At 41.3% G+C, this 26,669-nt stretch overlaps 1 protein-coding gene across 54 annotated transcripts in view; it reads right to left on the bottom strand.

Annotated features, from left to right (window-relative positions):
• SIPA1L1 (signal induced proliferation associated 1 like 1) overlaps positions 1-26,669 on the bottom strand; it is a 420,734-nt gene that overhangs the window by 256,152 nt on the left and 137,913 nt on the right. For 3 of the 54 annotated variants that reach the window (XM_047431215.1, XM_047431240.1, XM_047431213.1), the window contains exon 4: positions 17,811-17,939. The exons of 50 other annotated variants lie outside the window; for them this stretch is intronic. The gene's annotated coding sequence lies outside the window, so the exon portion shown is untranslated. Of the gene's footprint in view, positions 1-1,175; positions 1,317-2,846; positions 2,904-17,810; positions 17,940-26,669 lie in introns of all 54 variants that reach the window. One more of the 54 variants, XM_047431214.1, reaches the window with a different exon arrangement.

Genomic DNA, 26,669 nt, shown 5'->3' with positions numbered 1-26,669 from the left:
GGATCATGGGCAACGAATTACACTCATCTAAACTTAGTAATTCCACAGGGCTGGGATGGAGTAAGGGGAGGGGTACTCCTGTCTTTGTGCAGAATCAGAAGTCTACTGACTGCAGAAGAGTCAGGATCATGTTCTCTACTCTAACTTAACTCTAAGCATAGGTTTTGTTTAAAGCTAGGAACAAAATCCAAATGGAGGCATTAAGCAAAGTAATTCCATTTCCATTTTTAGCTCTGTTCACTTTTTAAAACAAATCATTATTCCTCTCTATTTCAAATATTGGTTGCCAAACTAACAATAAGCCTACTGTCAAGTCTCTGCTATCTGACAATAACTGCTGAATTCCTACTGTATGGTAAGTTGTTACATAAACATCAGTTTTCTGGGATAGCAAAATGAGTATCACGTCCAGATTCAAACCTAGATTTCAATCCTGATTCTAATAATCACCAACTGCAGGTAAAACCTTGCAGATTAATTTCCCTCTCTCTGGCCCTAGTTCCTAAAAATCATAAAATGAAAATAATGCTTGGCCCTTCTGATACACTATGAAATCATTCCCCTTCTAACATTGTTGGAAAAATTAGTGCTAATATATATAAAGAACCTAGCAAAATGTTTGACACATAATGGGCATTTTATAATTATTAATACAATGCTAATTACTTAAAGGGTTTTAAATATTTAAGTAGCTAGATTACTTATTTGAGTATCAAAGATAAAAGACGAGAAAGTTCAAAAAGGAAAAAAAAAAAGATGAGAAAGTTAAAAAAAAAAAAAAAGCTGTCCAACTAAAAGCTTCAAACAAAATAACAAATAAAATGAGAGGCAGAGTGACTTCTAAGCAACAGTGTCCTCTCAGCTGCTATGTGAAACACCTGTAGTGATGAGAACTCACGACCTCAAAGAGCAACTCCACCATTTATTCAAGGCTGCATTAAGACATACTGAGGATAGTGTCTATTATATGTGTCCGTTTCTGCAGCAGGCTAGAGGAACACAAATAATGAGGACAGAGCCCCCTGCTTTTGAGGAATCCACAGCTTCCTCATATGAACAGACAAACATCGTACAGACATGAGCAACCAAAGAGGCGAACACAGGGTGCTACGGAGTGCAGAGGTGGGGCATGCAGCCCAACCTAGCGATGTCAGAGGGAAGGAGTAAAACCTTACCGGTGACAGAGAGCATAGTGCATCAGAAGGGCCTAGTTCCAAGCAGGAAGTGATAGATGATATGGTTGAGCAAGGTTCCCATCACAAGGCTTGAAGGCCACATGAAGACTCCTGAACTTTCTCCAGTGAGCTGTGAGGAGCCTTGGAAATGTTTTCAGCAGGAGAGTGACATGGTTAGACATGCTTTTTGTACAGAAACTCTGGTGGCAATGCAGAAAATGAAATGGGTGCAGGGGTGGGATGGGATGGTAAATCAGTAGTCTAGGTGAGCAAGGATAAGGCTACAGAAACATAACTCAAATTTTAAACTTGCCCAAACTGTTAAAATTACAATAAAGCTGGGCCTCTCTTGATTTCTGCAGAGGTTTTATACAAATGTAGTCTCCCAACAATTATCAGTGGCTCCAGAAGAATAGAATCAAGTGGTCTGGTTTTGAAGTCTCACATGAATGCATGATACAATGTTGTAAGCAACACTGTACATGAAAGATGAATTAGGAGACATTTTCACAAAGAGCAATGTGCGCACAAAGAGCAAAGTGCAACTTCACCCTAAAATACCACAGAGCACGTTCCCCACTAGTTTCATGCTCAAATGCCTCTAATTATAATCATCTGTTATTAATAGAAAGAAAAACGGTACCCCAAACATCTATAATTTTTCTGCATGGTGTGGGTAAACTACCATCTAAAACAAATATTTAGATTTAGGTAAAGAATAAAATTCTAATAGCCCTCAAATTCTGACCACTTTTAAGACTTTTCCCTCCAAAGACTTGAATGTCTTTGGCCTGCAAGTATGAAGTCTCTTATCAAAAAGAGAGTAAAACAAATCTCTGGATATCATAAAGGATCATATCTGTGCTTAGCTGTCAGCTGAAATTGTTCGTAAAAAAGAAGAATACCACCCAAGTTGTCTGGCTGACTATGAGTTGGCTGCTGCCTGTGCATTCATACACACACAAAAATGTGTATAAACATGAACATCTAGGCACAAATATCCATCTGGACAGGATGTTAACACCATTCCTCAATTCCTTACGGGTCCTATTCTCTTCCAGAAGTATAAAATCTACCAACTGGCTAAAAGCACTTCAATTTGGGTGAGAGGGAGAGAAGATGGAGAGGAGTCAATTCTTTGAACCCAGACAAGGACTCATCTCCATAAGATCATTCAGAAAGCTTAAGAGGTTAAATACATCAGAGCCCTAATTCATCCCTATGAAAAAAGTACTAAATTCTTCTCTCCTCTCTAATCCTGTCTAAGTCTTTCTTTGGATTTGGTCCCCGGCACAGATTTAATGAGGCGCGTTTCCACACACTTTGACTGAGAGAGATGTACTCAGGGAAAGAGTGGCAACAAAAAGTGGCTACTTATACCACACTGACTTGGGAAAAATTGGCAGAAGAAATGTTCTGGTGGCATAATGAATCCTGGAACTGGACTGTTCCCATTCTTTCCTTGGTTGAGATTGGGTAATCGCTAAACCCAGCACTTGATTTTGAAGCTTCTACACCTCTGGTCAAAATATCCTTCACTGTTTCATTTGGTCTTCCCAATCCCCTCCCTCTCAGTCTTTCACCCCACTTAACTAGGGGATCTTATAGCTAAAAGCTGAAGAGCAAAGGCTCTACAGCCAGACCCTGTAGATTTGAATCCTTAGCACTTACCTACTCTCTGTGCCTGCTTTCTCTCCTGCCCATCAGGACCAGCTTCCCAGGGTTCTCCTGAGGATGACACGGCATAACCTATGTGAGCTGCTCAGCACAGGGCCTGGCACAGAGCTCCATAAAGGGTCCCAATGGTCTCATTAGTCTTAAGTAACAAAAGCATGGTAAACACTTAGGAGGGCAGCGTTCAAGCCCTGTGACACTTGCCATTTTGTGGAAAATAAATACTAAAAGCATAAAAATACCAGTTACCATTTTGATATATCTATAAAGAGATGTCATAGGATTATCCAACTATCTTCCATCTTTGTATTTTATTATCGTTTTCTATAATTAAAATGCCATGTGAGTTATTCTTAATTACCTTAAACTTCACCTTCCTAATTGTCTACTCCTATATCCTGCTGTGACTCCATTAACATGGCCTCCGGGGGTGGATTTCAAGAGATTTATGATCACCTACAGTTAGTTTCCCCCTCACTAATTTTTAATGGTTTTCTACTGATAAATAATGACTTAAAATAAATTAGCTAATTTTTAGACCACGTAGTTGTTTTCACTAGGAATCCACTGAACTATATTTGTTTTTCACCAGCTGTCTGGATAATTACACTTAGTCCATGTTTTTAAAAAGTCAGTAGAGAATGAATATGTTAATCATTAGCCTCTCTTTTTTTGGGGACTTTTTTTTTTGCTGTTGTTGTTGTTGTTTGTTTGTTTGTTTTACAGAAGGTCTGGCTATCACCCAGGCTAGAATGCAACTGGTGTGCAATGGAGCCATCTCAGTTCACTGCAACCTCTGCCTCCCAGGCTGAAGCCATCCTCCCACCTCAGCATCCCAAGTAGCTGGGATCACAAGCATGCACTACCATGTCCGGCTGATTTTTGTATTTTTTGTAGAGGTAGGGTTTTGCCATGTTGCCCAGGCTGGTCTCTGACTCGTGAGTTCAAGCTATCCACCCACCTCAGGTTCTCAAAGTGCTAGGGTTACAGGCGTGAGCCACCACTCCCAGCCTGGACTTCCCTATATTCTCTAATTCGCCTGAACTTATGCAAGGGGTTCAGAATGAAAACATATCAAATCACATCTCAAAGGCAACTCAATAATTGGATATAAAAGACTTAAAATTAGACATTTTTTAAAGTAACAAAAGATGAGAACCACAAGGTAAACAGGAAAGTGAATGACTACAGGTGTCCTGGGTGCATTTCTGCACCTAAAATCAAATAGCACTAAATGTAAATTTACATATGGTATTAAAATGCTCACTTTAAATTGTTAATTTTTTTAGTAGAAAGGAAAAGCAAGAAAAGAGTCCACTGTGATCCTAGCACAGAATTTCCACAAAACTGAAAGGTTTCTAGTTTGTTCTTGTATTTTACACAATATATATTAATTCAGCCAAGATAAAATGACCTTTGTTTTTTTGTTTGTTTGTTTTTTGTTTTGGAAACAGAGTCTTGCTCTGTCACCCAGGCTGGAAAACAGTGGTGCAATCTTGGCTCACTTCAAACTCCGCCTCCTGGGTTCAAGTGATTCTCCTGCCTCAGCATCCCGAGTAGCTGGGATTACAGGCACCCACCACCAAGCCCAGCTAATTTTTGTATTTTTAGTAGAGACGGGGTCTCACCATGTTGGCCAGGCTGGTTTCAAACTCCTGACCTCAGGTGTTCCACCCAACTAGGCCTCCCAAAATGCTGGGATTACAGGCGTGAGCCACTGTGCACGGCTGACTTCTTCTTTTTTTTTTTTTTTTTAAGACTAAGAGAAACAGAATGTCTATTATTTTAAGATGTGTGCAATTTGTGAAAAACACTAGTCTGGCCGGGCACGGTGGCTCACGCCTGTAATCCCAACACTTTGGGAGGCCGAGGTGGGCAGATCAACTGAGGTGACTCAGGAGTTCAAGACTGGCCTGGCCAACATGGCAAAAACCCGTCTCTACTAAAAATACAAAAAAATTAGCTGGGCATGGTGGCAAACGCCTGTAATCCCAGCTACTTGGGAGGCTGAGGCAGGAGAATCGCTTGAACCTGGGAGGTGGACGTTGCAGTGAGCCAAGATCACACAACTGCACTCCAGCCTGGGCAACAGAGCAAGACTCCGTCTCAAAAAAAAAAACAAAAAACAAAAAAAACACTAGTCTAAACTTTGTATTTAAAAACAGAGGAGGACTGCATGCAATGGCTCATGCCTGTAATCCCAGCATTTTTGGAGGCTGAGGCTGGAGGATCGCTTGAGCCCAGGAATTCAAGATCATCCTGGACAATATAGTAAGGGCTTGTCTCCACTAAAAATAGAAATTAAAAAAAAAGAATTAGTCCAGCATGGTAGCATATGCCTGTAGTCCCAGCTACTAGGGAGGCAGAGACAAGAGGATACCTTTAGTATGGGAGGTCAGGGCTGCAGTAAACCATGTCACACCATGGCACTCCTGCGTGGGTGACAGAGGGAGACCCTGTCTTAAAACAAAGCAAAGCAAAACAAAACAAAACAGGGGTTTAGACAGGTGTGTTGGTTCATGTCTGTAATCTCCTAACTTTGGGAGGCCCAGGCAGGAGGAATGCATGAGCTCAAGAGTTCAAGAGCAGCCAGGGCAATATAGTGAGACCTTGTCTCTATTTAAAATAAAAAAAATAAAAAATAAATTGGCCCCGCATCGTGGCACATGCCTGTAGTCCCAGCTACTCAGGAGGCTGAGGCAAGAGGATCACTTGAACCCAGAAGGTCAAGGTTCCAGTTAGCTATAATTGTGCCACTAAACTCCAGCCTGGGTGACAGAGCAAGACCCTGTCTCTAGAAATGAATGAATGAATGAATACATACATATATACACACATACATACATACATACATACATACATACATACATACCTACATACACACACACATGGAAAAAGAGGGGTACTGGTCCTGGGTAGGATGAAGGAAGGGTACTCCATCTCATTTCTCTACTGAATGCAGTTATAATACCTGGAAAGATTATAAGCAGCTATTTGAGGGGTCTGAAAAGTAAACGATAGCAGGCTGATTAGGGAAGAAGAATGAATCTCAAGGTACTACCAAACTGGCAATGAGCGTCCCACTTTTTTCGTAAGAAATCACCAGCCTGGACTCAAGGCAGCTAGACATGGCATACCAGGATGTGGACAGAGGGAACAAACTGAGTTTTAGCTAGAGGAGCAGAAAAGGGAATTCCTAAACCTGGAGAAAATGGGGGAAACACTCCATTTTTCTTTCCTTTTTTTTTTCTTTTTAATTCTCTTGCTTCCCAATCCAAGGCAATTCCAAGGTGGTGGTGGACAGCGGGGACAACAGTCACATATACTCTGAGGGAAAGGAACCTTCCTCTCTGATCAGAGGAGCTCTGATCTCAAGATGTAGGAGCAAACATCTGCTGCTTTTTTCCTCTGTCTTTCTGCCTCTTGGCCCGAAATGCAAGCAGTCACAGGAAGTACGTCCTATTCTAATGTCTCATCTCTGTGGCTGGAAAAGTAAAAAGGGGAACCCCAGGGAAGGAGGAAGTCATGGAGAAATCGACTTACACAAATATAACCAATTGATTCTTGGTAAAGGTACAATGGCAATTCAATGGAGAAAGATTGTGTTTTCAACAAAGGTGCTGGAATAATTAGACATCCATATCTAAAAAAGGAAACCTGACCTAAAACAGATCTTACAGAAATATTAATTCAAAATAAATCATATATATCTAAATGTAAAACTATAAAACTTTTAAGAGAAAACATAAAATCTTTATAACCTTTAGTTAGTCAAAGAGTTCTTGGAAATCACCCCCACTGTACTTTAAAAAAAAGATAAACTGTACTTCTTCAAAATTAGAGAAATTTTGTTCAGAGAAATACACTATTAAGCAAATGAAAAAATAAGGTATAGACTTGGAAAAAAATTTGCAAATCACATATGCAACAAATAATTTGTATCCAGAATACATAAAAACAAAATAAAACTGAAAACTCAACCAAGAAATAACCCAATTTAAAAAGTGGTTATTTAAAACCTTGAACAGATGCTTCATCAAAAAAGATATACAAATGGCAAGTAAGCATATGAAAAAATGTTCAACCTCATTAGCCACTAGAGAAATGCAGGTTAACACCATAATGAGACACCACTACACATCCATCCAAATGGGTAAAATAAAAAATACTGATAATACCTTGATAACAGGAAATGCTGTCAAGGATGCCATGCATCTGAAACTTTTATACATTGCTGGTGTAAATGGAAAATGACACAAATACTCTGGAAAATAATTTCAAAGTTCCTCAGAAAGTTAAACATACCCCTACCATGTAATCCAGCAATCCCAGTCCTGGGAATTTACCCAAGGGAAAGGAAAGCCTATGTTCACATAAACACTAAAACACAAATGTTCACAGTAGCTTTTTTTTTTTTAATACCTCCAAAGTAGAACAAACCAAATGTCCTTCAATGGGACACTGGATAAATAAATTGCAGTACCTTCATATAAAGGGATCTACTCAGCTATTAAAAGGAACCAAGTATCTATACTATCCACAACAAATTGCATGAACCTCCAAGGCATTATATTCAGGGAAAGAAGTCAGCTTCAAAACATGATCTAGGTCCTCGCACTTTGGGAGGCTCATTTGAGCCCAGGAATTTGAGACCAGCCCGGGCAACACGGCGAGACGCCATCTGTTAAAATAATTAATTAATTGATTAATTAATTAATTAGAGATGGTCTGCTCTATACTTCCACATAAATGACACCATCCCAGAGAGAACACTATCGGAGACCAGCCTGGGCAACACAGTGACACCCGCGTTTTTGTTTTTTTTGTTTTGTTTTGTTTTGTTTTTTTCTTACAGAGAGAAAACTATGGAGATGGGGAACAGATCAGTGTTAGACAGGAGGTAGAGGTGGGGAGACAGTATAACATAAAAGAACTTTTTTGTTCTTGTTTTAAAGAGTCTTGCTCTGTCGCCCAGGCTGGAGTGCAGTAGCACCATCTCAGCTCACTGCAACCTCCACCTCCCAGGTTCAAGCAACTCTCCTGCCTCAGCCTCCCGAGTAGCTGAGATTACTGAGTAGCTGAGATTGCACCACCACACCTGGATAATTTTTGTATTTTTAGAGATGGGGTTTCACCATGTTGGCCAGGCTGGCCTCAAACTCCTGACCTCAAATGATCCACCTGCCTCGGCCTCCCAAAGTGCTGGGATTATAGGCGTGAGCCACTATGCCTGGCCCACAAAGAAACTTTTTGAGCGAGGTAGAAGAGTTATGGGGTAGTTACACAAGTCTATACGTGTTTAGATTGATACCATCCTGGCTAACACGGTGAAAACCCGTCTCTCTTAAAAAAAAATACAAAAAATTAGCCGGGCATGGTGGCAGGCGCCTGTAGTCCCAGCTACTTGGGAGGCTGAGGCAGGGGAATGGTGTGAACCCGCGAGGCAGAGCTTGCAGTGTGCTGAGATCACACCACTGCACTCCAGCCTGGGCAACAGATCTAGACTCCATCTCAAAAAATAAATAAATAAATAAATAAATAAATAAATAAATAAATAAAACGAACAAATTGACAGATTTGTTATTCGGAGGCACAAAAAAGTTTTAAAAAAACATAAAAATACCTCAAATTTACAAAAACATATTTTATGACTAACTTACATAAATATGGTACTGAAAACTGCCACAGAAATGAGTTTTAAAGATAATGGAACAATGTAGTATTAAGTGTTATTTAAACCAGTGTACTTATAAAATATTTTTAGAGATACCACAAAACCATTTCTTTCCAAAGTTAACTGTTCAGCCACAAAAATATGACTGTTTAACAGCAAGAACGCTAATGTTCAACAGAGCCCAACAGTTCTTGCCATTTGGCTTCTGGCTTTTGAGACACTGATGTTACAAAGCAGGTGAAACATCCGGGAAACAGATGCATGAACTCGGAGTCATCCAAAATTTGTCCACTACAATCCAGGCCCATCTCTACCCCACCGGGTTATACATACCTCCTTCATTTCCTCAACAGGAAGCACCCAATACACATACAGTTTGTTTTAAAACTTGAAGAGTGTGTATACAAAAGGAAAAGGTCACAGAAACCAGTTTCAGCAGGAGCATCTGCACTGTGTCATCAAGACCACCACAACTGCGGTGCCTCTACAACGTGCCCAAATATGACCTACCTCACTGTAAACCTCCTGCTAGAAATGATGCTTTCCTCAATGGAGTAAATGAAAGTGAGGAACAGCTCTCAATTACACTGTTAAACAAAAATGATCCAGCCTTGGTTCAAAATGCTATGATAAAATAATTTCTTAACACTGCACTCTTTCTGTCCAAATACTATTAGTCTTCCACTGGAGGCATTTTAGCCTTTTTCAAGGAAACACAATAATAACCATTAAAAGGGCAATTTGGATGTTGCCCTCATTCCACTTTCACTGACTGCGCCTTCCCTTTTTCAGCTGTGTCCTATGTACATAGCTCTGGCCATTCAATTCATAAAATAACCACAAATGTGTTACATTGGAAGACATTTTGAAAGCAGAATTTTTGTTTTAATGGAGAAGCTACGGATAATTTTTTTCTTTCTAATTTTCTCTATTTTTCAAATGTTCCCAATATTGAAACATCAAGATAGGTGAAGAATTCCCTTTCCTCTACTCCTGACATAATTTGCCAAAAATTATGACAGTGACTTGTATTGGTTTTCAAATACAAGGAAAAATCCTACTGTTTGAAGGTATTACCTAATCCCCCACCACCATCATCACAAAGAGGAGGAGGGGGAAAGATACACTAAACTTTCCAACAACATTGTTCTCACCAATTAATAAAAAAAAATCAGTTACAAACATAAGGAAAGTCTGGTTATTTCTAAATGGGAGAGACTGCTTCTTGATGTGTTTAGCTTGCTGGAGAACAGTATGCAGGAACAGATAAGCTTTTAACAAACCTGCTTTTATTACAATATTTCAAGCCTGAAGTATATGCTATAGCATTCTTTAAAGACTGGTACTTCTTGGTGTTCTGTCAGACATGTACTTAAAAATAATCACCTGGTTACACATGACCAAACCTTGGCTCACATGCACAAGGAACACTGTTTTTTATTACATGTCAACAATAAACAGGGATGTCAAGTGACACCTTCACAGCAGTGCTTTCCCTTCTGTTGCCTAAGATGCTATTATTTCTATTAGTCTGAGTGGCCAGCAAAGACATTCTACATTCAAAAGAAAATTGACAGTCAGAATTTCACACATGCACACACACCTACACACACAAAATGTTCTTAAGAAAACTCATTCATTTTACACGATTTACAGCCTGAAATTTAAGGGTTTTTTTTCAGGCTGGAATATATTAGCAATGCCTACTGGCAAAAATGCAAGTTAGAAAATCAGAATTAAGAATCAACTATAAATAGCCAAATGAAGAGAGGAAAAACTGGAAGCTATTATGTGAAGCCCGAAGATACCAATCAGGGGAGGGATTCTGATGGGTCCTACGTACTGATAGGAGGGACTGATGAGCAGTGTGGTGCACAGCAGAGATGTCCTCACCTGAACAATGACAGGGCTGAACTGAGATTACTCCACAAATCCCTCACAACTAAATAATTCCCATTCTATAATTTTGGCACAAGATTGAGACCTTTTTATATTGTGATCTCCTTATAGGCTTTGTCTTCTTTATCACCCTGGCATGGTGCCTGGACCTAAGAGATACTCAAACAGCTGCAGAATAGAATGAATTAGAAAAGAAAGTCAATTACTTGCAAAGGACTGTATCTCCCAGTGGGCATTATCCACTGGTCCACTGAAGCACTCAGCACACTCCCAGTTGGCCAACAGCAGAATCACCGTCAGTTTGGAGGATTTTTGTAAGTGCCTGACAATTCCATGTAAAATAACTAAATTTTCTTAGACAAAATTCACTTTCCAGCTAACTTCATAGTTGATCATAGCTTGTACTGGGAGAAGTCTCAGCTCTGCCAACTATTTACGGCTCATTTTTATTTGCATTATCTACGTTACCTTCAACCCATAATTCTCTGTAGGAATCTTTATAAGCCAAGTGTCAATTTTGCAGCTGTTGCTTTAATTAAAACTGGTTAACATAATCTGTAAGTCTGATGAGTAAATGTAGCATGTCACAACAGGCTGAAAGCAAACAAGGGAATGCAGGACCCTTTGCACTATGGAAGTTCCACATAATCCCAGGATAGCTGCATTCAAAATAGGACACTTGTCATCTGACAGATGACATGAGCAAGGTTCCCAGTTTCAATCAAATATTAAATATTAGTACATTTTAGCTTATTTCTTAGAACAGCTTAATGACAGCTCTAATATTTTCTTCCTGTCCTTCAGCAAATGCACTTATTTGGAAAACATAGTTCTAGACTCCTTCTGAGAACATTTCTGTTCTCAAGTTATTTTTCTCCCATCACTTTGACCACATCACCCAAATCCTTCCTCAGCATTTTTAAAGTACCATTATATAAAAGAGAAAGCCCAGAATGATCTTCCTGTTTCGAAGACAGACTTACATCTCATCCAGTTTAACCTTTTATTTTCTATCCATGAGTAGTTCCACATATAGGATTTTTAAGGCAGATCCCCACTACTCCTCCTTTTCGCACCTAACTTTACAGAAGAAAAAACCAAAGAACAGTGCTAGAAATGAAAAGACCAATAAATTTGAATCAGAAAATCTGGGCTCAAATTCTGCCAGTACTAGCTGTGTAAAAAGGGATGGGGGAACAAACCTTTCTGAAACTATTTCTAAACTCAGGAAAATTCCACTTTGTTCCACTGTCTTGGTTATTATAAAGAGTAATAACTATTATAAATGATGAATAATGATTATGAAGATTAAAAGTAATTTTATTTCTAGACTTACAGTTATATATTATGTTATAATTATTGTACAGATAAAAGCAATTTTATTTTTATATGTACCTTTAATTAAATAAAGGTAATCTTGTTTATATCTTATTACACTTACATATGAAAGCTGAAAGTAATGTGTACTGTTTTCATTCATGGTCTCTCTTAGTCATTCTATGAAGCACCAACACTCAACAGCAACCAAATTTAAAAAGCCTCTCTTTAAAGTTTCATGTTATCCATTATTATAATATAATTATCATGTAATTAGAGAAATAACACCCATTTTAAGTGGAAAATTAAGCCAGGTGCTGTGGCTAACGCCTATAGTCCCAGCTACTCAGAAAGCTAAGGTGGGACGATCATTTGAGCCCAGGAGTGTGAGGCTTCCGTGAGCTATGATCACACTACTGCACTCCAGCCTGGGTGACCAAGTAAGACCCTGCTTTTTTTTTTTTTTTTTTAAGTTTTCATAGAATAAAGTCCCAGAAGTAATATTAGCAAGATAACCATTTTTAGGGCTCTTGGCACATACTAGATGATTATTTTTTACAAAGTTCACATAGTAAAAACTCACTTAACCAAGATAATAGGAAACTTGGTTTGGAAACTGAGAAACACTATATATCTCAGACATTTTATTTAAACTGAACATGTTATACATTCATTAACCAACTTTGTAATGTAAGGACAAGGCCTTTTGTAAGAATAATCAGTCTCCTGAATGACTGTTAGTCTAGTCATTCTTATACAAACCACCCAAAAAAGCATCATGACAACTTTCAATTTCCCTTTTTATTAGAGTATAGCACAAACTCAAAGCTCTCAAGAAGCAATCTGAGAATGCTTAGAGTAGTTTAATTATTTCCCCCCAATCTTTTATAGTCATCATGACCACACGTAACATATTATAACAGCAGCTTTGAGTTTGTGGTTTTTTGGATTTTTTTTTTTTTTGAGGCTTGCCTTTGGAAGCTTTCCAAAGTATTTAACATATTTTTGTAGAAAAATAATACTGATTTAATCAGATAACATAACATTTTAATTACGCAATTACAACAAGTCCTACTGACCAAAACAGGGTTTGCTACAAACAAAACTGACTCTTGATCAATATTCAAGTCAACCAGCTGACACAGAAGGACATGAGAGTCTAGACGGAGGCTGCCTGACCCAAAGCAGTGAGGGTGGTGGGCATCCATGCACTTCGCAGGAGGAGGTGGTCCCTGAAGAGTGCTCTCATCTCTCAGCACCTGGCACTTAGCATTATTTTAAAAGATATTTATTAACCCTTACGTGTATGAAGGTACGATACAAACACAAGAGGCCCTGAACTGCTTCTACCTTCCTCCTCTACCCAACCTCCAAATGTTGGGCCCCAGGGCTTGGAGTCAGGTAGGCCTGGTCTCTAGCACTCCTATCTTTTCTATCTAAATTCAATAATTAGCTGACCTCACCCAGTCCCAAAGATTTAAATGCCATCCAGAGACTGAAGACTTTGAAATGTAAAACTCTAGATAACATCTCTCCCAAGCACGTCAAACTTAACAGAATGTGGATCATCCAACTCCCAACCTGTTCTGTCCACCAGACCAATAACCACTACTACCATCCACACAGCCACTCAGGCCAAATGAGTAAGTTGTCCTTGGCTTTCCCATTTGTAACTCCATATCCAATCTAACAGTAATTCCTGTCACCTCTCTCTGTTTGTTTCCCTGTCTTCTGTCCTTAAAATGTAAGCATCTAGAGGGAAAGGACCCTGTCTTGTTCGAGGATGTGCCTCCAGCCCCCAAGGCAGTCCCTGACACACAGCAAGTCCTTAACTCACACTTTTTTCCCCCAAGACAGAGTCTTGCTTTGTTGCCCAGGCTGGAGTGCAGTGGTACAATCTCAGCTCACTGCAATCTCCGCCTCTTGGGTTCAAGCAGTTTTCCTGCCTCAGCCTCCCGAGAAGCTGGGATTACAGGCACATGCCACCACGCCCGACTAATTTTCGTATTCTTAGTAGAGATGGAGTTTCACCATGTTGGCCAGGCTGGTCTAGAACTCTTGATCTCGTGATCTGCCTGCCTCAGCCTCCCAAAGTCCTGGGATTACAGGCATGAGCCAATGCACCTGGCCCAATTCCCACTATTAAGTGGAAAACACTCCTAAAAAAACCTCTGAGGCCGGGTGCGGAGGCTCACGCCTGTAATCCCAGCACTTTGGGAGACCCAGGTGGGTGGATCACAAAGTCAGGCAGGAGATAGAGACCATCCTGGCTAATACAGTGAAAACCCGTCTCTATTAAAAAAAATACAAAAAATTTGCTGGGTGTGGTGGTGGGTGCCTGTAGTCCCAGCTACTCGGGAGGCTGAGGCAGGAGAATGGCGTGAACCCAGGAGGCGGAGCTTGCAGCAAGCCGTGATCAAGCCACTGCACTCCAGCCTGGGCAACAGAGCAAGATTCCATCTTAAAAAAACAAAACAAAACAAAATAAAACAAAACAAAAAAAACTCTGAGTCCTCTGGGAAGTTTTCCATATATAATTAGAAGAGTAGGAGAAATTTTTCCAACCCCTATTAAACTACATAATAGTCACAGCTTGGGAACAGACTACTGCCCCAACACTCTCATTTTATAAATATGGGCCCTAAGGTACAGAAAGTTTACATCATTTACCCCAGATGATGAGAACCCAGAGCTCCTAATGCAAACATCCAATGACCTACAAGCAGCTCCGCCAGGTGATCACCCACTAAGTCCCCACTCCCTTTGTTATATACAACTCTTGCAAGTAGTTGGAAAACTGGATTAAATTAACATTAGATATGTATATTTTTTCACTGGGGGCTTGTAAGAAATCATTCTGCAGGTGGCTTCTTGCAATGCCCCCAGTTACACAGTCACTTAAAAAGTTTGGGCGCTGCTGAAGTGTCAGATAGCAATTCACAGCAGACAGGAATTAAAAGTGAGGTTGTCCAGATTCTAAATCCCAAAGTCACTACAGCAAGCTATTGCTGCTAACTTTGCTTCTTTCTTTTGCAAACGTGTCCGTATCAGGATCTACTATAAATTTCTAGTACAGAGAGAGAAAGTAGCTGGGTGGCTGTAATTTGGTAACTGTCATCCAGTTTCACATTTACATTCAAAGGTTCTTCATAACATAAGGCCCTACCCAAAAGCTCCCCACTTGGTGTGAAGAAATGTTACCTTACAGATTTAATCATTTCCCTGTCTCAATCTGAATACCCAAGTATTTACAAAGCTCCTAGAATTTCTTCATCAAGCTCCCTTGACACAGGTAAAGGGTCTGCCAAGCACCACCAGCCCCAACCCGAACTAATGCTGCTGCCCCAGGCTCAGGACTGGCAAGGCTGCAGAAGTCAGAGTCAGGTCTCCCTTCAGTTCCCATCCCACTCACATGACCACACCATCCTCCTGGTTATGACGGAGCATGACTTATGAATTATCCAACGCTTGATCAAAGTTCTGCCTCATGTTTGTTTTTATTGGAAACAACTAATAAGCACTTGAAAAGCAACAAAATAGTTTTTCCACAAACGTCACTTTACTCCTCATAAACACTGCCCTATGAGGTATACAGCAACATCACCTTCCTCATTTTTCACATGAGAATATGGATGAAAGGGGGACCAATCCCACACTGTAGTAAAGTCCAGACCTGCATCAAAGTCCTCCAGAATAAAACCCTTGCTCTTTTGCCCACACTAACAGCATGCACATTAGATATCTTCGCTACGATGAGCAGAGAGAGCATCATTCTGTTCACTCACTCATTCATTCCAGCTCTATACTGCTTTGATTTTTTTTTATTTTTTGCACTTGGGGATGGGTTAAGAAACATAAAGCTTTTGACCTCTAGGAGGGTCATAATGTGGGGGAAGGGGATGACAGGACAAACACATAACAGGTAAAACAAAAATAATAATGCAAGGAAAACAGTGTTGCCCTCTCACATCTGTACTGCACTTCACAGCATGTAGAGTTTTCATGTGGATCTAGCAACCCCTCACCTCATCCCCGAATAATAACTAAGCACTAGAGTGATGCTGGGGATGCTGGGGCTTGGTTTAGGTGGCTGGGGAAGTTATCTTGGAGGTGAGACTCCAGTGGACTCTGCGGATGGGTAAGGTCTCAGAGAGGTTGGGGAAGTTATCTTGGAGGTGAGACTCCAGTGGACTCTGCGGATTGGTAAGGTCTCAGAGAGGTTGAGGTTAAGAAGAGAGCATTCCAGACCATTCCAAAATCAGCACATAACACACATGGCTTGAAAATGGAAAAAGACTTAGAAAGTAAGGGAACTGGGCTGGAGTACTTGCTTTTCTAGTGTGGTATAATAAGAGCTACAGAAGAAAACAAGGGAGATTGTTAACCAGGGCTTAGAACTCATCCAAAATGAATGACTAGGCCTACAAGAGAACAAAGAACATAACAAGCTCGTTTTCATCATGTGTTTCTCCCAGATACAAAGCTGAGACTTTTCATGATGGGTTTTTATATAGCTCCTGTCCTCCAAGATGAAAATTCACCATTTATACTTCTTCATTCTGTTTTTACTACAAAAGATTAAGATCTTTTTACTTACACATTGCTATAATTCTTTGAATTGTATGTGACATGGTTTGGATATGTGCCCCTGTCCGAATCTCATGAGACCACACTAGAAAGCAAGTACTCCAGCCTAGTGTTAAGAGGTGGGGCCTGGTGGGAGGTGTTTGGATCATGGGAGCTTAAAACCCATGAGTGGCTTAAAACCATCCCCTTGGAGTGAGTAGGCTCTCATCTGTTTTTTTCCCAAGTGTGTGGCACCCACCCCTGCCAATCTCTCTCTTGCTCTCATTCTCACCATGTGAGAAACCACCACCCCGTCTTTGCCTTCCACCATGATTGTAAGCTTCCTGAGGCCTCCCCAGAAGCTGGGCAGATGCCAGCACCATGCTTGTACAGCATGCAGAACTGTAAGCCAATTAAACCTCTTTTCTTTATAAATTAACCAGTCTCAGGTATTTCTTTATAGCAACGCAAGAATGAACTAACAGTATCTATCTCCATTTGGGTACTTATTTAAATATGGCTCTAGCTTTTAAAGTAGAGACAATGCCTTTTATTTCTTCTGTCTGCCTTAGAGGGTCTAGAACAATACTCAAGAAAGTTACTCTACGAAAGTCATTGACAGATCAGGAAATAAAAGACCCAATTTTTAAAAACTGCAACTGATTATAGGAGAAGTCCCTGTAACAGACAGACAGACACAGACAGACACACACACACACACACACACACACACACACACACACACACCCCTCTAACTGCTTTTCCCCTTTATGGTTTTACTCATTTGTCCTTACTATGTGCCAGGCATTGTTTTAAGCATTTTATATATACTTTCCCAAGATCACAACGCTGGTAAATGATAGAAGCCAATACTTTTTCTTTCTTTTTTTTTTTTTTTTTAAGAGATGGGGGTCTAGTTATGTTTGGCAGGTTGGTCCTGAACTGCTGGCCTCAAGCAATCCTCCCACCTCATCCTTCCAGAGGGCTAGGATAACAGGCATAAGCCACCATGCCCAGTCAAGATTTGAATCCAGACAGTCTGGTGCCAGAGGTATGCACTAAACCTCTAGGCATGACATTGTCTCTCAAAATGACTCATTATACTTAAAAACATAAGGGACAATTTTTGCTTCTTCGGTTTTTAAGCTGTGGCACCAATCACATACTTTTTTGAAAACTGGGCACAATGCAAACCACAATTACGTTTTTAAATTACAAAAAAAATACTCCAAGATTTTAATAGGCTTCTACATAATGCTTAGATTTGGGCTTTGCATGTTGTTTTTATTAGAAAGTGCATCTGCTCTTGGCATTAAGCACGACAAAATTAGCTATTTTATGATTACACAATAAGAATGTAAGTATCATCTCATCAAACAAATAGTGAATGACGAATGCTTCTTCTTGGAGAAATTTCTTTTTAAACATATTAATGTATAAATAGATAGGCAAATATTACTTGATTCAAATAACCTGATATCTACAAAGACAAGAGAGTTCTTTACCTGTAAATAGTCAACATTCACTTGAACGACAAAGAATCCAACGGTGCATTTGTAAATATCCACACACATACAATGTTGGCTCACAGAACTCCCCAGCGACAGTAATTAATGCTGACATAAATCTGGACACTGAAATGGCAATGGAATTGCTTTCACATGACAATTCAAAGTGTTGTTCCAAGCAGGCAGGAAAATTTCTCTCTAGAAATGTTGAAAACTGTGTCTGAGTTATGAGATAAAATAGTTTGCGTTATATCCCTAAAATCATTTAAATATTACATCTATTAATGACTAATTTATAGATCAAAAGCACTCACATAACATGCCCAAATTCAATTAAATGGAGAGAACTACTATGGAAGAGAAAATTGTTATCAAAATAAACTGAAAGAACAAGTAACTAATGCCATTACATTGGTTCTGTGCACAATAAAAAATAGTTTATTAAAAGATAACTGGTCAATGTGCTTGAGACCATGAACATCCATTTTAGTCAGAAATAGTGGCAAACCCTAAACACAATAAATACTACTTAAGAAAATGTATTTAGTTCATAATGCATACAAATCTCCACTTTAGGTACCATTTTGGGGTTAAAAAATATAACGCTGCTATGAGGACACAATTAGAACACAGTGAATTTTATTACTGTTTTTTTTTTTTTTTTCAGTATGGCTCTATTAATGCCTGTTGTTTATCTACACAAATACAGAGCAGCCTGGGAACTGTCCTAGTTTCTTTGAGAGTTATCAACTGAAGCTAATGTTTCCTTAGAGAACTCCACTTTGAAAGGGTACTATGAACCTGGCCAGTTTTCATTGCTGTTTAGACAGACACAAGCACAATTTGCAGTGTGGGCAACACCACCTCTTAGATGCAATCCGCCTGTCTTCAAGTGAGTCTCCCAGTAGTCCTCACTGTGTTCGTTTGCTCTGCCAAAAATAAACAACAGCCTCTCCCCTAGTAAACAGCAGGTAGGAATGGGTTTAATCATAAATTCTAGTGGATGGCAGTCCAGTAACAAAGCAGAGCTCTCTTTGGTGGTAGCATTAGCTTCTTTCTGCCCTGCTCAAAACACCCCTAAAGTACACTGACTTGGACATGATCTCATTCAATATATGAAGCCCTGTGATGGTTAATACTGAGTGTCAACTTGATTGGATTGAAGGATGTGAAGTATTGATCCTGGGTGTGTCTGTGAGGGTGCTGCCAAAAAAGATTAACATTTGAGTCAGTGGGCTACGGAAGGCAGGCCCACCTTTAATCTGGTGGGCACAATCTAATCAGCTGTCAGTGAATATAAGCAGGCAGAAGAATGTGAAAAGGCGAGACTGGCCTAGCCTCCCAGCCTACATCTTTCTCCCATGCTGGATGCTTCCTGCCCTTGAACTTTGGACTCCAACTTCTTCAGTTTTGGGACTCGGACTGGCTCTCCTTGCTCCTCAAGCTTGCAGACAGCCTATTGTGGAAACTTGTGATCGTGTAAGTTAATACTTAATAAACTCCCCTTAGTTCTGTCCCTCTAGAGAACCCTAATACAGATTTTGGTACCAAGAGTGGTTCTAAAGAAACAGAATGTTAAGGATGGAGTTCTTTCATTGGTTTCGGGGTTTCTGGAGTTGGCTGCTTAATAAGAAAATGCTAAGGACTCTACTTCTAATAGTACAGATAACACTGAGAGTCCTTGGCACGAACTGTTTAGAGTTATGCAAAATAAATGCATTTGACACTACTGATTCACCACTGTGAGCAGCAAGGAGTTTGGTGACTACATAATACCATATGTGGAGAACCAAGGAACATAATGAAGCTGGTTGGTTGCTCCTAAGTTCAGTGGACAAAGTGATGAAGGAAAATGATGAATTCAGGGATTCTGTCTCCTGGCTTCAGAAGCACATACTGAGCCTCAAATCTGCTAAGATTGCCCTGAGTGAGAGTCTTATCTGCTGTAGAGAAAGAGCTGAAATTGTGGAAAACAGACACAAGCTCTTATCATGTAAATGGCTGACCTGCAACAAAAGTTGCATACACATCCTCATCAGGTGTCTACCATTACAGTCAGGGCACTGATTGGAAAAGAATGGGACCCTGCAACTTGGAATGGGGACACTAAGTTTGTGAACTCTGAGGAAGCTTTTTTGCCAGAAGCAACAGCTTCCCCATCTCCAGTAGCGGCAACATCCCCACCTGGACCCATGCTGCCATCAGCCTTTCCACCCTTGTCTGAGGAGATAAACCCTGAGTGGCCTGAGGCAACAGTGATAGCCTCCCCTAAGGCAGTTGCCAGGAAAAATAATGTTGATTCTCCTCAGGAGTCACCCTCAACACCCCTGTTTGCTTCTAGACCTATAACTAAAGTCCCGGCGGGCCCCTAGAAGTGAGGTTGAGAGTGTGACCCATGACGGGGTGCGCTACACTTGAAAAGAACTGTTTTGAGTTTTCTAATTTATATCAACAGAAATCTGGAGAACAGCCATGGGAATGGATATTAAGAGTAAGGAATAATAGTGGAAGGAACATAGAGTTGGATCAAGCCGAATTTAATGAATTGGGCCCACTAAGTAGGGACTCTGTTTGTTTTTTTTGTTTTGTTTTGTTTTGTTTTTTGAGATGGAGTCTCCCTCTGTCACCCAGGCTGGAGTGCAGTGGCATGATTTGGGCTCACTGCAACCTCCGCCTCCTGGGTTCAAGAGATTCTCCTGCCTTAGCCTCCTAAGTAGCTGGGATTCCAGACGTGTGCCACCAGGCCGGGCTAATTTTTGTATTTTTAGAAGAGACAGGGTCTCATCATGTTGGTCAGGCTGGTCTCGAAGTCCTGATCTTGTGATCCGCCCACCTCGGCGACCCAAAGTGCTGGGATTACAGGCGTGAGCTGCCATGCCTGGCCGGGACTCTGCTTTTAATGTTGCAGCTCGGGGAGTTAAGAAAGGTTCTAATAGTTTATTTGCTTGGTTACCTGAAATATGGATTAAAAGGTGGCCCACTGTGAGCAACCTGGAAATGCCTGATCTCCCTTGGTTTGATGTAGAGGAAGGGATCCAAAAGCTTAAGGAGATTGGGGTGGTGGAGTGGATTAGTCCCTTTAGACCTACTCATCACAGCTGGGAAGGTCCAGAAGATATACCCTTGACCAATGCCTTGTGAAACAGATTGCTGAGGGCAGCACCTGCATCTGTGAAAAGCACTGTAATTGCTCTTCTCTGTATGTCAGATCTCATGGTGGGAAGCACAGTCACTCAACTACTAAATTTAACTACAATGGGAATAATTGGATTGCAAAGTTGCAGGGGCCAACTAAGTGGCAGCACTCAACCATCAAAGGCAAGTGGGCATAGCTACCACAATGGGCAGCAGAGGCAAAGTGGCAATCAGAATAATCTGACTCCTGTAGAGCTCTGGCATTTGCTAATTAATCATGGTGTTCCTAGAAGTGAAACTGATAGGAAGCCTAATGCATTTCTACTTAATTTATATCAGCAGAAAACTTCTAGGTCAAATGGACAAAATACTAAGTTGAATTCTAAAAATAGAGAATCATGGCCCCTCAATCAATTTCCGGACTTGAGCCAGTTTACAGATCCAGAACCCCTTGAATGAAGGGGAGGCCGGGTCCCCTTGAGGAAGGATCCCACTACATTACCAACAATTTATGCAGTGAATCTTTCTCCCATCCTTCCCCAAGACCTCTGGCCTTTTACCAGGGTAACTGTGCACTGGGGAAAGGGAAATGATCAGACATTTCAGGGACTACAGGATACTGGCTCTGAGCTGATGCTGATTCCAGGGGACCCAAAACGTCACTGTAGTCCTCCAGTTAAAGTAGGGTCTTATGGAGGTCAGGTAATTAATGGAGTTTTAGCTCAGGTGCGACTTACAGTGGGTACAGTGGGTCCCCGGACTCATCCTGTGGTCATTTCCCAGTGCCAGAATGCGTAATTGGCATAGGCATAATTAGGAGCTGGTAGAACCCCCAGATTGGCTCCCTGACTGGTAGGGTGAGGGCTATTATGGAGGGAAAGTCCAAATGGAAGCCATTAGAGCTGCCTCTACCTAGAAAAATAGTAAATCAAAAACAATACCGCATGCCTAAAGAGACTGCAGAAATTAATGCCACCATCAAGGACTTGAAAGACGCAGGGATGGTGATCCCATTTGGCCTGCGCAGAAGACATAGATCTTGGTGAATGACAGTGGATTACTGTAAGCTTAACCAACTGGTGACTCCAATTGCAGCTGCTGTATCAGATGTGGTTTCACTGCTTGAGCAAATTAACATATCTCCTGGTACCTGGTATGCAGCCATAGACGTGGCAAATGCCTTTTTCTCCATTCCTGTCCATATGGCCCATCTGAAGCAATTTGCCTTCAGCTGGCAAGGCCAGCAATATACATTTACTGTCCTGCCTCAGAGGTATATCAACTCTCCAGCTTTGTATCATAATTTATTCGGAGAGACCTTGATCACTTTTCATTTCCACAAGATATCACACTGGTCCATTACGTTGATGACATTATGCTGAGTGGATCTAGTGAGCAAGACACTGGACTTATTGGGGAGATATTTGCATGCCAGAGGATGGGAAATAAATCCAACTAAAATTCAGGGACCTTCCACTTCAGTAAAATTTCTAGGGATCCAGTGGTATGGGGCCTGTCAAGATATTCCTTCTAAGGTGAAGGAAAAGTTGCTGCATTTGGCTCCTCCTACAACCAAGAAAGAGGCACAACGCCTAGTGGACCTATTTGGATTTCGGAGGCAACACATTCCTCATGTGGGTGTGTTACTCTGGCCCATTTATCAAGTGACCCGAAAGGCTGCCAGTTTTGAGTGGGGTCCAGAACAGGAGAAGGCTCTGCAACAGGTCCAGGCTGCTGTGCAAGCTGCTCTGCCACTTGGGCCATATGACCCAGCAGATCCACTAGTGCTTGAAGTGGATGCTGTTTGGAGCCCTCAGCAGGCCCCCATAGGTGAATCACAGAGGAGGCCTCTAGGATTTTGGAGCAAGGCTCTGCCGCCTTCTGCAGGTAACTACTCTCCTTTTGAGAGACAGCTCTTTGTCTGTTACTGGGCTTTGCTGGAAACTGAACATTTGACTATGGGTCATCAAGTCACCATGCAACCTGAACTGCCTATCATGAATTGGGTGCCTTCTAACCAATCTAGCTATAAAGTGGGTCATGCACAGCAGCATTCTATCATCAAATGGAAGTGGTATATACGTGATTGCGCTCGAGCACATCCTGAAGGCACAAGTAAGTTACATGAGGAAGTGGCTCAAGTGCCCATGGTCTCCACTCCTGCCACCCTGCCTTCTCTCCCCTAGCCTGCACCCACGGCCTCATGGGGAGTTCCCTATCATCAGTTGACAGAGGAAGAGAAGACTAGGGCCTGTTCACAGATGGTTCTGCACGATATGCAGGCACCACCCAAAAGTGGACAGCTGCAGCACTACAGCCCTTTTCTAGGACATCTCTGAAGGACAGAGGTGAAATGAAATCTTCCCAGTGGGCAGAACTTCAAGCAGTGCACCTGGTTGTGCACTTTGCATGGAAGGAGAAATGGCCAGATGTGCAATTATATACTGATTCATAGGCTGTAGCCAAGAGTTTGGCTGGATGGTCAGGGACTTGGATGAAGGATGATTGGAAAATTGGTGACAAAGAAATGTGGGGAAGATGTGGATGGACCCCTCTGAGTGGTCAAAAACTGTGAAGTTATTTGTATCCCATGTGAGTGCTCACCAAAAGGTGACCTCAGCAGAGGAGGATTTTAATAATCAAGTGAATGGAATGACCCATTCTGTGGATACTACTCAGCCTCTTTCCCCAGCCACCCGTCATCACCCAATGGGCCCATGAACAAAATGATCATAGTGGCAGAGATGGAGGTTACATATGAGCTCAACAACATGGACTTCCACTCACCAAGGCTGTCCTGGCTACGGCCACTTCTGAGTGCCCAATTTGCCAGCTGCAGAGACCAACACTGAGTCCTTGATATGGCACCATTCCTCGGGGTGATCAGCCAGCTACCTAGTGGCAGGTTGATTATACTGGACCTCTTCCATCACGGAAAGGGCAGAGGTTCATCCTCACTGGAATAGACACTTACTCCAGATATGGGTTTGCCTATCCTGCATGCAATGCTTCTGCCAAGACTACTATCTGTAGACTCATGGAATGCCTTATCCACCAACATGGTATTCCACACACCATTGCCTCTGACCAAGGCACTAACTTTACAGCTAACAAAGTGCGACAGTGGGCTCATGCTCATGGAATTCACTGGTCTTACCATGTTCCCAATCCTGAAGCAGCTGGATTGATAGAACGGTGGAATGGCCTTTTGAAGTCACAATTACAATGCCAACTAGCTGACAATACTTTGTAGAGGTGGGGCAAAGTTCTCCAGAAGGCCATGTATGCTCTGAATCAGTGTCCAATAATATATGGTACTGTTTCTCCCACAGTCAGGATTCACAGGTCCAGGAATCAAGGGGTGGAAGTGGAAGTGGTACCACTCACCATCACCCCTAGTGATCCACTAGCAAAAGCTTTGCTTCCTGTTCCCGCAACATTATGTTCTGCTGGCACAGGGGTCTTAGTGCCAGAGGGAGGAACGCTGCCACCAGGAGACACAACGATGATTCCATTAAACTGGAAGTTGAGATTGCCACCTGGACACTTTGGGCTCCTCCTACCTTTAAGTCAAGACTAAGAAGGGAGTTACAGTGTTGGCAGGGGTGATTGACTCAGACTATCAAGATGAAATCAGTCTACTACTCCACAACAAAGGTAAAGAAGAGTATGCAAGGAATACAGGAGATCCATTAGGGCGTCTCTCAGTATTACTATGCCCTGTGATTAAGATCAATGGGAAACTACAACGCCCAATCCAGACAGGACTACAAATGGTCCAGACTCCTCAGGAATGAAGATTTGGGTCACTCCACCAGGAAAGAAAACCACGACCCGCTGACATGCTTGCTGAATGCAAAGGGAATACAGAATGGGTAGTAGAAAAAGGTAGTCATCAATACCAGCTACGACCACGTGGTCAGCTATAGAAACAAGGACTGTAATTGTCATGAGTATTTCCTCCTTCTTTTGTTAAAAACATGTTTGTGCATGTATACACTTCTACTAAGAAAATATCTTTATTTCCTTTTCCTTTATCATGAGACATAAGATTTATTGACTTCATATCAGCATTTATGTATTATTAACTTTATGTAATGGTATTTGGGTTGGGGATTGGTACATTTCCAGTTGTACAAAAGACAGTTGTATTATGTTAGGCGTAATTATGACCTTATTATTGTCTTTATTTGAAGATTATGTATGATCTCAGGAGATATGTATGGGTCCAAGGTGACAAGGGGCGGACTTGTAATGGTTAATACTAAGGGTCAACTCGAATAGATTGAAGAGTGTGAAGTAGTCATGCTGTGTATATCTGTAAGGGTGCTGCCAAAAAAGATTAACATTTGAGTCAATGGGCTGGGAAAGGCAGACCCACCCTTAATCTGGTGGGCACAATCTAATCGGCTGTCAGTGAATATAAGCAGGCAGAAAAACACGAAAAGGCGAGACTGGCCTAGCCTCCCAGCCTACATCTCTTTCCCATGCTGGACGCTTCCTGCCCTTGAACATCAGACTCCAAGTTCTTCAGTTTTGAGACTCGGACTGGCTCTCCTTGCTCCTTCAAGCTTGCAGACAGACTATTGTGGGACCTTGTGATCATGTAAGTTAATACTTAATAAACTCCTCTCTCTCTCTCTCTCTCTCTGGATGGATAGATAGATAGATATCCTAAATATTACATATCTTCTATTAGTTCTGTCCCTCTAGAGAACCCTAATACAAGCCCCATCCTTTTCCCCTGAAGTATTGCAAAACTGACTGGATTACCACTATACCGTCGTGTTACCTATTTCAACTCACATAATTGTAAGGACTTAAAAGAAGCCACCATTCAGAAAATTTACTAGCGATCTGTAGTATGTTCCCGCCACATATCACCTGCAAGTGTGTGACTATAAACCTCTCTTACTCTCCCCTTTAAAATGGGGATCTTGTGAGAAATATAATGCTCACAGCTAGCACATACCAAACACCTTCCTAAAATGTGTATCAACAAAAAACATCTATTGCTGAGAATTTTTTTTTTTTTTTTCAGACAGAGCCTCTCTCTGTTGCCCAGGCTGGAATGCAGTGACATGATCTTGGCTCACTGCAAACTCTGCCTCCCAGGTTCAAGCGATTCTCCTGCCTCAGCCTCCAAGTAACTGGGATTACAGGAGCACACCACCATGCCCAGCTAATTTTTGTATTTTTAGTACAGACGGGGTTTCAGGAGTTAGAGGCCAGGTTGGTCTCTAACTCCTGAGCTCAGGTAATCCCCAAACCTTGGCCTCCCAAAGTGACAGGATTACAGTCGTGAGACACCAAGCCTGGCAGAGAATTCTCCTTAGCCTCAGACACCGGTAGTGAAATGGTTACTGCAATGTCAAGGGAGAAATGTCAAATACTAAGAATAAGGGGTGACTCTGGCAGAAGTAAAAGCTGATAGCATATGTAAAGCCCCATAATACATCTAGTAAAAACAATGAATTAGGCCAGGTTAAATAGTTGAATCAATTCATTTTACTTCCACTTCTTATTATATAATATCTCTACCTGATAAAATATATGCACACCAAAGTCGCAGCCTTGTTCTACACTTAATATCACTGGTTTCATAATGGGGATGAATCCTGTTACTAAAAGAACATTCATTTGTTAATAACAACATTTTTGTTACTCTGATGGAAGCAAGTCTCAAAAAAGGTTTTGACAAAAATGTTACATACGAATATG

Source organism: Homo sapiens, chromosome 14 (assembly GCF_000001405.40).
Source record: "Homo sapiens chromosome 14, GRCh38.p14 Primary Assembly".
In the NCBI taxonomy this organism is placed as follows: domain Eukaryota; kingdom Metazoa; phylum Chordata; class Mammalia; order Primates; family Hominidae; genus Homo; species Homo sapiens.
Note: the sequence above shows the minus strand (reverse complement) of the source record. Positions and strands in the feature narration are given on the sequence as shown.